We start from the raw sequence: 10,971 nt of genomic DNA, 5'->3' as shown, positions 1-10,971 counted from the left end.
TAATGATGAGCAGCCCAGTCAAGAATGAATTGTCCAGTCGAGCCACACTCATGCCTGTAATCCCACTACTTTGGGAGGCTGAGGTGGGCAGATCTCTTGAGGTCAGGAGTTCAAGACCAGCCTGCCTAACATGGTGAAACCCCATCTCTACAAATATACAAAAAAAAAAAAAAATTAGCTGGGCTTGGTGGTGCCCGCCTGTAGTCCCAGCTACTTGGGAGGCTGAGGCAGGAGAATCATTTGAACCCGGGAGGCGGAGGTTGCAGTGAGCTGAGGTTGTGCCACTGCACTCCAGCCTGGGTGACAGAGTGAGACTCTATCTCAAAAAAAAAAGAATGAAAGAATGAATGGTTCAAGGAAGACCAGACAGCTTATTCTAGAGCTGACTGCTGCAAGTCCTTGTTTCCCACCTCTTGAGTAACAATGAAAGCTTTGTTAACTAGCACCCAGAATGTCAGATATGAGAGTGTGCATGTCTCTGTGTAAGTATTGGCCTGTTGACCAGCTCAATGCACATTAGAAATGGGCTCTCATTGGTGAAATTAAGGCATTCACAATATATGGATTGGCTTAAATCCTGGAGAGACATGCCACATGTTTTCATGAACATGATAGAAGAATGCAGGGGAGTCTGTAGACTTTACCCTAAGAAAATCAGCAAAATAGGCCATGTGAACTGTTTTTGTGCCTGCTTGCTAAAACAGTAATAATTGATAAGCCCTCCTGTGTGTGGTAGAGAGTCCCTTTCTTTAAAGCTCAGAAACAAAGCCATGTAGAGAGTGGCAAACCCTTGGCACCTCAAACCTCTTCACTGGCTGCTCTGCACGTACTGCAAAAGAACCTGGGGTTGTCCTCTACCAAATTGTCTCTGGTCAGTCTCCAGCTGGGCTCAGTACCTGGTGTTATGTGCATGTACTTTATTTAATGCCCACAACAAACCTATCAGGTAGATAGTGTTGTTTATACCCATTTTATTAGTGAGAAGCCCAAACCTCAGAGTGATTTCATAACTCACCCAAGGTCTTCATAGCAGATCCAACCAGGATTTGGACCCAGGTCTGTTTGTTCTCCAAGTTCTTCACTTCTGGCCTATACTGCCTGCAGGAGGGCTGTCTGCAAAGTCAGGAGGGGAAATGAAGTGGGCATGGGGCTTCGTGGTGGGCTATTCTCTATTCTTCCATGACCCATGTGCCAGAATAGTATTAGGGGCTGGGCGCAGTGGCTCACGCCTTTAATCCTAGCATTTTGGGAGGCCGAGGCGGGCAGATCACCTGAGGTCAGGAGCTCAAGACCAGCCTGGCCAACATGGTGAAACCCCATCTCTACTAAAAATACAAAAATTAGCTGGTGTGGTGGTGCACCTGTAATTCCAGCTACTCGGGAAGCAGAGGCATGAGAATCGCTTGAACCCGGGAGGCAGAGGTTCAGTGAGCGGAGATTGTGCCACTGCACTCCAGCCTGGGTGACAGAACAAGACTCCGTCTAAAAAAACAGAACAGTATTAGGGAAGCAGCCTACCTACCTGCATGTCTATGTGGCACAGCTCCAAAAGGTTTAAGCCCATCCATGTGTCTTGAGAATTTTTTAAATTTCACCAATAAGAGCTCATTTCTAATATTCATCAGGCTGTTCAACAGGACAATATTTTTACCCCCCAAATAAACAAATACATAAAAATAAAACAAAACTCATGTCTGACTCTCTGGATGCTAAGGCCTGGCCACTGCGCTGCCATGAGCCATCCAGGTGGTTCTCATCAAGGTGCTTCAACCTTCCAGGCTTTGCTTACTTCCTCCAGAAGGGAGGTCTTGCCCCGTAGAAGTTTATGTTTGTGATATATATGTGTGTGTTAAGGAGTACAAAATAGGACACCAAGGCTATGGAAACAATAATGAGACTAAAAATAGGCTAAAGTGCGCCTAGAGGAGGCATCTGCTGCCCAGACAAGAACATCAGAAAGTGTGGGCTTTCTGGGCCAGGCATGGTGGCTCATGCCTGTAATCCCAGCACTTTGTGAGGCCGAGATGGGTGGATTGCTTGAGCTCAGGAGGTCGAGACCAGCCTGGACAACATGGCAAAACCTTGTCTCTACTAAAAATACACAAATTAGCTGGGCATGGTGGCGGGGCACCTGCAATCCCAGCTACTCGGGAGGCTGAGGCACAAGAATTGCTTGAACCCGGGAGGCAGACAAAATCGCACTACTGCCCTCCAGCCTGGGTGACAGAGTGAAACTCTGTGAAAGAAGGAAAGAAAGAGAGAGAGAGAGAGAGAGAGGGAGGGAGGGAGGGAGGGAGGGAAGGAAGGAATCTGTTTGTGAGCAGAGCTGGACTGCGGGCTGGTGGAAAGAGGAATGCCTCTGGAACCAGCCCCCTGATGTAGAAGATGGTGTTGGCCCCCTATCTCCTGCCTTTGGCATTCACCATTGCTGTACGCAACACCAGCTTCTTACTGAAGAAACCTGTCACTCTGTCTGGGGCTGTCTCTGGCCACAGGAGCATGCTCAGTCCATGCACTGGCCAGGCTGGAAGTGCCTGGGGTTGTCCCCAAGAGCAGCCCCAACCAAAGATGAAGGGAATTGGGTAAATGCCCATGCTCCCTAGCCTCTGGGATGATGGCTCTGAGGCAGGTTCTATTCTGCAGTCTCCCCGTAGTCCCCAGTGGGAATGAGCTTCATTGCACACAGAGATGACCTGCTTGTGAACAAACTCTCACTCTACTTCCTTCCCTCCGTTTCACTTCCTCATCCCCCTACCAGTGCTCCCTAGGGCCACTTCCCTAATTAAGTGTATGCGCTCAAATATTTGCTTCCATGGGAACCAAATTACCTGGTTCAAATCCGTACTCTGCCACTGGCCAGCTGTGTCTTAGGAACATTACTCCACTCCCCTAAACTGCAGCATCCTTGGCTGGGATTGTGAGATGACAAAAGTAGAACAAACCTCACCAGACAGGTGTGAAAATTCCAGAAAATAGTCCGTGTCAATAGTTTAGAGCAGCATCTGGCAGTCAGCAGACACACAATAAATGCTAGTATTTTCTTATTTATTATAATTATTGCTTATTATTGATAGCCCCTGAGATTTCCTTGGCCAAGTTCAAGTCCATTCTGAGAGTTCTAAGCTCTCAAACTTCAGACTTCCTCCAGGTGAATCTCCCTGGTTGTTTCAGGGAATCTAATTCATTTATTCACTTAACATATCTTTAGCAAATATTGACTTAACACCTATTATGTCGAAGACACAGTGCGACGGGGGATATAAAAAATAAGATGAGGTCACGGTCTCCAGTGAGATAAATCGTATCCACACATAGCTACTGTCTAAGGCAAATGGTGATAAGTGCTCTTGTGTGTGTGCCAATAGAGCATAAAATGAGTTCAGAGGAGGGTGAAGAACATTGTGTGTGGTATGAAGGAGTATCGTTGGAGTTGGGTTTGGAAAGGGGTAGAACTTTCCACAGTTCCAAAGAGTTGATGGAGGGGAGAGGATACAATACATGGAGAGGGGGGAAGTGATAAACTCTAGGAGTTTGGCATCCCAGAGACAGCTCAACTATGTCTTAATGTGAGATCCCATAGATTGATGAGCCTCTATCTCTCAGAGCTAAGAGGACAGCGGATGCTCCCCCAAATTATTATTACCATTCCTGACACTTACATAGCACTTACCCTGCCCTAGGAACTACAGGGGATGTGCTACGTATGTTAACTGATTTAATCTTCACCTTCAGGGTCAGCACAACTATGATCTCCACTTGACAGATAAGAAAACTGAGGCTGGAGGGGTTAAATGTCTTGCTCCAGCTCCCGCGGAAGCTAAGTGCCTTTCACCTAATCCTGTGTGGTCTGGCTCCAGGGTTCACACTCTACACTGCCTCTCAAGTGTGGCACCTTTTCAGGAATTTAAGGGAATATGTTGCTGTGATGTTGACAGGGCTTGAGGAGAGACTGAAAGAAAGCCCTTCAGCCCCATAGAGGAAGTCCCCAGAGGATGGATGGTTCTGGAAGTTACGGGTTACCAGGACAACGCATCCCCTCAGCCTGGCCACGCCCCCCGGGCTCCCGCTCACTGGTTGCAAAACTCAGCTTTGCCCCTGCACGGAGTTTCCCTTCGCGGGGCCCGCTGGGGAAGCATCCGCGGCTTGTGGTGGCTGTGGTTTTGTGCCCAGGACTCACACGTAAAAGGAGCTCATTCGGAGGCAGGGGCACGCGCTTGTCCCCAGAACTCAAACCCCAGAGTCCCTCCGGTAGGTGGTACAGAGGCGAGTTTGATCCTAAACAAAACAGGGCAGGGTCTTCCTGTTTGTTTTCTTCCTCCAGCGGGGAGCAACAGCTGCTAATTGGATAGTGAAGTGACCGATTTATTATTCTCTTACCCGTGCTGAGCAGAGCTGTAGGAAATCTCCGGGACTGGGAGCAGCACAGGGGGGTATCTCGGGGTCTCTCTGAGAAGGAGTTGACAGTGGGGACCAAAGCTGCCGGCTGCCATGTTTTATTTGGCCTGCCCAGTGTTTAAAAAAAATGTTTTTAAATAGATGCTGACATTTTTAAAAGGGGAAGATTATACATACACTTCTACATCTCCGACTTGTGTCAAGAAATGGGAAGTTCTGGGCCCAGATCCCCATAAGTCAGCGATGAGGGGGGCCGAGCAGGGGCTGCCCGTTAGACGGCCGCAGAGTCCCAGCCCCCAGCCCTGCTCACCTTTCTTACCTCTCTGGCCCCGTCGGCATTTGAGCCTGGGACCCCAGACGAAAGGATACGCTTCCTTTTAGAACCCCTGCCAATCTGAGGACGGGGCCACCCCACAGACGCCGTGGCTCAGCAAGCAGACCAATGGCCGAGGAGTCTGGCAAGGGGCGCTTGGTGAGTGGGTTTAATGACAGATTAAGTTGCCCATTAGGAAGCCATTAGAACACAGCGTGATGCATCACTGGGTAAACGAGAGAGGCTGAAGTCAGAGACAGGATCTTGGAGCGCTTGATCCAATTTAATTCTTCTATTTTTTTTTTTTTAAACCCTAGGCAGATGAGAGTGGAGGTTGTAAATCACCCTCCATGCAATGGTTCATCATAAAGGATATGGAGCAAAATTAGAGGAGGCACGAGAAGGAAAGCCGGTGATGAACAAGGTAGGGGCTGCTGCGGCGTGATTGAAGACAGGCTGGGAACGCGGGAGAAGCCGCTGAAAACTGGCTTGGGCTGGAGGTCTGATTAAGGCATCCCAAGCCAGAAAAACCCAGAGCCCAGCCTTCTGCTTTGCCTTGGGGAGTAGGATGGGGGAATACGTGTGCAGAAAACTTTCTGAGACAGTGCCTCATAGTGCCATCTACATGGAATATGAAGTCAATCAGAATGTCTCTAAATCCTGGCTCTGTTGGGTTTTGGCTGTGTGACTTTGGGTAAGTTACTTAACCTCTCTGAGTCACATTTTCCACCTGTGTTAAAGGAGGTAATCACAGCAAATGCAAAGGGTGGTGCTGGATATCAGGGTGGGCACCTGCTAAGTGATGCTTTCTTCTGTTTAACGTTGTAAAAGATGTAAATGAGACGGTCCCCAAATGAGGGTAGATTTTACTCCCCTCTAGCTCAGGTGGCGCTTGTCGGGGAGATCAAGCAGTTTCTGTTCCTCCCTAGTAAAAGCAGGAAGGCTTTCCTGGGCGGGGTCCTCTGAGTGCTGGAAGAGGGGGAGGGTGTCCACTCAGTGAGGAGGCAGGAGGGCAGTCTTGCACACACTGGGCACCTCTGGGCCTCCAGCACTGGATGTCAGCTGTGCTTGTTGAATGGATGTGCTGCCCTCAAGCCCCAAATCTGTTCTCTGCCCTTCTCTATCCTCTCTGTGCCCTGGGACGCTGACCCTGGCAGTACCTCACCCAGTGTCTTTATCTGGGCTCTCCCAAAAGCAGAGCCCCAGAAAGGATGTGAGGGCAGCCTGTTTCTTGGGGAGCTTATGGTGAATGTGGAGCTCCCCATGCAGGCCCCCCTTCCAGGAGGGACTGATTGCCCCCCTGTTGGCTCCTTCAGGATTTGCCTCAACTACAGAGACAGCATGGAACACGCCCTCCTAGGCTGCCCACATCCTCATCTGCATGGGGGCACAGAAGCCTGGCCATTCATCCCATGGGAGACTCAGGACATGCTCCCAGCAACCTGATGGGCTGCCCAAGGCTTGGCTGATCCTGCATCCCTGCATCACATCTCAGCTTCTCCCTCTGCCCAAATCTACTTCCTCCCCATTCCTTTCACAGGCATTGATTCCCTGATAAACACCTTGCACCCCATATTCCATCTCAGAGTCTCCTTGCAGAGAACCCAACCTGTGGCAGAGCTGGTCTCAGGACTCGGAGCGAGGGAGCAGGGAAAGAGGACAGGAAAGCAGGGAGAGTCAATTTAAGGGTATGTTGTCTGAGACAAAGATTCTGCTAGGACCTCTGAGATGGGTACAAGATGCCTGGAGCCATTCACTGGGCAGTATCTGTCCATCAGCTCCCAGGCCCCACAGAACCGGAGCTGCCTGTGAGGGCTTTCACTGCCCTGCATTTCTGGGCTTCACATATGCACTGGCTGAGAGGGCTCCCTGTCTTCAAGGACGATCCTGAGCAGAAAGTGGGTGCACTTGAGGTGGCATGCTGTTGCGAGAGTCTGAGCTTTATGAGAAGCAGACCCAGGGGGCATGGTGTGGGGCATCCCAAAGGACCTGCCATACATTAGGTGCCTTGGTCTTGGGGAGGAGCCCTCGGGAGTTCTGAGGGTGGGAGAAGAGGTAGGTGGGGTTAATCCTTTCCCATTCCCTCCCTGCCTCAGCACCATGGCTCAGGCAGTAGCGCTGCCAGCTCCTCCTGGGATCAGAGTTATGGCCCTGCTCCCCTTGTCCCTTCAGGCTGAGGAACATAAGGGCTTCCCATGGTTGCTGGTGTCTGAGTGCCTCAACCTCCCTTGCTGGTTCCTTTCCCCTGCCCACACCTTTGTCAATAGTTCCCCCCACTGAAGTCTCTTTGGTTGAGCAGTTGGTGGGGATGCTGACTGATAAAGTGGTCTAGGCCACTGCTCACTGCTTAAAGCCTTGCTTCAGAGAGACCTTCCAGGGCCCTGCAGCTCCCCCTTCTCCAACCCCTCCAACCCCTCCAACCTTTCTCTCTCCCAGCTGGTCTGGGTTCCCTACGGCATCTACTTGCTTTTGAATCTATTTCTTATAGATACATGTGTGTCCTCCTCTTTCACAGCCTTACCTTTTCATATGGAGGAAGAAAAAACCCATTTCTATAAAGCTATTAAATGTTTTCCTTTCACAAACACCAGTTTTGTACATCAGAAGCACTGCCTTTCATGCCTATTGAATTCTCGGAAATGGGCTTCGAGTGCCTATTTCAGGAGTTGAAATCTGAACATCAGCTCTTTCTTCCTCTCTGCATTCCTGCCACACAGTCCTAATCCTCTCCAGTGTGATGGATCCCTCTGGCTGGGTAGAAGGGAGATCATTTAAAGGAAATTTGAAAAAGAAAAGAATAGTATTCCATTTCAAGAGATTTTTCTCCTGACACAGTTATTTTCAACAGGTGACAGGTATTGATACTGATGAAAGATTCTTGAGTGAATACAAACCACTCCCCACCCCCATCCCCAGCATACATTCTCTAGAAATTCCAGAATGCCCAGTGAGTGGATTCATTCCACATATATTTAGTGCCTAACTACATGCCAAGGAGCTGGGTGCTAAGAACAAAAAAGTATGATTCCTGCCCTCTGCCATAGAGTTTGTGATCTGTGTTGATGCATTAAAGATTAATCCAATGATTACACAAAATGTGATGTTGCAATTTTGCCTTTGCACTTGCTGTTCCCTCTGCCTGGAATGCTTGTCCCTGCAAGGTGTCTGCCTGGCTTCCTCCATACTTCCTCTAGGCCTTTTCACAATCATCCCTCTTCACTTGTGGCCTTCTTGGCCACTCACTCTGTCAACATTCCTGCTCTTTTTTTCTCTCTAGCATACTTCTCTGTTTATGGACCATCCCTCCCAGAATGTAAGCTTCATAAGAATACAGATTTTTCTTTTCATAAAATCTTTTATTGTTCTCTGCAGAGAACAAAATTCCCAGAGTAGAAAACAATGCATGGGATATAGTAGGTGCTCAAACAATGTGTATTGAATGATTAAACATTGACCACACTAAGTGGTAATAAGCGTGGGCTGAGAAGGATTAGAGAAAAGAGAGTTTCCAAGGGAAGTGATAGTTGGGCTGATCTAAGGAAAGTTGGGAGGCATCAAGTAAGCCTAAAGGAGAGGGAAATCGTGCAGGAAACACCAGCATATGCCAGGGTGCTGGGTGAACAGGAGCATGGTGGGCTTAATTAAGAAACTAAAAGGAGGCCGGGTGTGGTGGCTCACACCTGTAATCCCAGCACTTTGGGAGGCTGAGGCAGGCAGATCACGAGGTCAAGAGATCAAGACCATCCTGGCTAATAGAGTGAAACCCTGTCTCTACTAAAAATACAAAAAAAATTAGCCAGGAGTGATGGCAGGCACCTGTAGTTCCAGCTACTTGGGAGGCTGAGGCAGGAGAATAGCCTGAACCCAGGAGGTGGAGCTTGCAGTGAGCTGAGATCACGCCACTGCACTCCAGCCTGGGCAACAGAGCGAGACTCCATCTCAAAAAAAAAGAAAAAAAAAAAACAACAACTAGAAGTTCAGTGGGATTCGAGCACAGAGGATGGAAAAGATATGTGGGGAGGGATTAATGACAAAGATGACACTTAGAACTGTCACACAGTGCTGGGAACTAGGCCAACCTTCACACAAGTCTGGGAGAAAGGTACTATACGTATTCCCATTTTACAGATGAGAGAATCAAGGCCCAGATAGTATAGGTAACTTGTACAAGTTACAAACCTAATGAGCAGCAGAATTAGAGTTCAAATGCAGGAACTTTGATCCAGAAGCCTAAGGTCTGAAATCCGTGTGGCTTTTAGTCTCTGGTAGAAGGACTAGGAGGGGTTGGCACAGGTACGGCTTTGTAGTGACATAGAATCCCAGGTTGGGGATAGGATAGAGCTGGCAGATATAGGCTGGATATCTCCTGGGATGATTCTTACAGACCTCCCAACTCCCCACCCCACCCCATCTCCAGAGCTGCACATGCTCTGATTGGATCGACCTTAAAAAGCTTGCTTCCATTCTAGTCAGGATGGGCAAAATCAGTCTAAACTCCCTGAAGGTTTGGCCATGAACCAATAAGATCCCTTCAGAGATTAGTATAAAGCTAGTGCTCTGTTCTCTGCAATGACGGGTTATTTTAAAAAGCATTAACTAGGTCATTTGCAATGCAGTGTGAGTGGCCAAGGCTGCTGACTAGAATCCTCTTGGGACTTTTAAAAAAATCCAGATGCCCAGGCTGCACCCTCACCAATTACATCAGAGTCACTCAGGCGGGACCCAAGCATCAGTATTTTTTAAAGCTCCCCGGGGAAGCCCAGTGTGCAATCAAGTTTGAGAACCAACAGTCCAGTCCCCAGCTACTCAAAGGCTGGAGCAGGGATTGGTAGCATCAACATCCTTGAGAAGCTTGTTAAAAATGCAGAATCTCAGGCCCTTTCCCAGATCTACTGTTTCAGAATCTGCGTTTTATTTTTTTTGTTTGTTTTGTTTTTTATTTTATTTCTTCTAAAAAAAAAAGGGGGGGGGGGGATACATGTGCAGAACATGCAGGTTGTTTCACAGGTATATGTGTGCCATGGTGGTTTGCTGCACCTGTTGACCTGTCCTCTAAGTTCCCTCCCCTCACCCTCCACCCCTCAACAGGCCCTAGTGTGTGCTATTTCCCTCTCTGTGTCCATGTGTTCTCAATGTTCAACTCCCACTTATGAGTGAGAATATGCAGTGTTTGGTTTTCTCTTCCTGTGTTAGTCTGCTGAGGATGATGGCTTCTAGCTTCATCCATGTCCCTGCAAAGGACATGATCTCATTCCTTTTTATATAACCTCATGTGGTTAGTGGCTATGGTATTCGACCGTGAAGTTCTGGAGCAGGGCTTTTCAAACTTGTGTGGATTCCGAGGTGGACGGATCACCTGAGGTTGGGAGCTCAAGACCAGCCTGACCAACATGGAGAAACTCCGTCTCTACTAAAAACAGAAAATAAATCGGGCGTGGTGGTGCATGCCTGTAATCCCAGCTCCTCGGGAGGCTGAGGCAGGAGAATCGCTTGAACCCGGGAGGCAGAGGTTGCAGTGAGCCGAGATTGTGCCATTGCACTCCAGCCTGGGCAACAAGGATGAAACTCTGTCTCAAAAAAAGAAAAAAAAAAGAAGAATCTGCATTTTAACACCAAGATTCCTATTCACACAGGTTTGAAAAGCCCTGCTCCAGGACTGCATAGTTCAATACCATAGCCATTAACCATAGGAGGTTATTTAGATTTAAATTAAATTAAAAATTCAGCTCCTCAGTTGCACTAGCGACATACATTTCAACTGCTCAATTGCCACGTGTCACTGGCTGGTGGCTACCATATTGGACAGTACAGATAGAGAATAGCCTGATCACTGCTGAAAGTTTATTGGACAGTACTGCTCCAGAACATTCTGGAGTGGTGTAATCCACCAGTCTTTTTTCCTGTGGATGCTGCAGGCATACAGACAGACAGTGCTACCCTCCCTGGATGGGACAAAATTAAGATACATTCAAGCAGGCACACAGGGGATGTATCTAGATTATTGATTTTCCGCTCATTTGAAATAAATCAAGGACATGGCCATGTCTTCCCAAGCCCTAAATAAGTGCAGTTTGTGGGGTCGGAAACAGATGAGTGGGGAAGAAAGGAGAGGAGAAATGCAAGAAGCAAGATCAATTTCAGGTGCTAGAACAGGATGCAAGAGGGTTAGCCCAGGCCCCCACACCTCTCTGTCAGTCTCAGCACTGCCTGCTAATCACAAGGCAGGAGAGCGCTTGGCAAGAAGATGAGATTGATTTGTTACT

General features: G+C 48.4%; 1 long non-coding RNA gene across 1 annotated transcript in view, besides 2 other annotated features; it reads left to right on the top strand.

Annotated features, from left to right (window-relative positions):
• Positions 4,463–5,303: an enhancer, noted in NCBI's record as "NANOG-H3K4me1 hESC enhancer chr3:72148884-72149724 (GRCh37/hg19 assembly coordinates)". NCBI's record gives its function as "activates a minimal SCP1, AML or CMV promoter by ChIP-STARR-seq in naive H9 embryonic stem cells {active_cell/tissue: H9 hESC(naive)}" and the evidence as "EXISTENCE:reporter gene assay evidence [ECO:0000049][PMID:30033119]".
• LINC00877 (long intergenic non-protein coding RNA 877) overlaps positions 4,581–10,971 on the top strand; it is a 64,937-nt gene continuing 58,546 nt past the window's right edge. Inside the window, exons 1-2 of the long non-coding RNA NR_104116.1 lie at positions 4,581–4,867; positions 5,026–5,132. This is a non-coding gene — a long non-coding RNA (long intergenic non-protein coding RNA 877). The remainder of the gene's footprint in view (positions 4,868–5,025; positions 5,133–10,971) is intronic.
• Positions 9,142–9,231: an enhancer, noted in NCBI's record as "active region_20071". NCBI's record gives its function as "activates an Ori minimal core promoter by ATAC-STARR-seq in GM12878 lymphoblastoid cells {active_cell/tissue: GM12878}" and the evidence as "EXISTENCE:reporter gene assay evidence [ECO:0000049][PMID:35858748]".

The sequence above is a fragment of the Homo sapiens genome, chromosome 3 (genome assembly GCF_000001405.40).
Source record: "Homo sapiens chromosome 3, GRCh38.p14 Primary Assembly".
NCBI classification, from domain to species: Eukaryota; Metazoa; Chordata; class Mammalia; order Primates; family Hominidae; genus Homo; species Homo sapiens.
The sequence above is the reverse complement of the archived record's forward strand: the minus strand, read 5'-3'. Positions and strand labels throughout refer to the sequence as shown.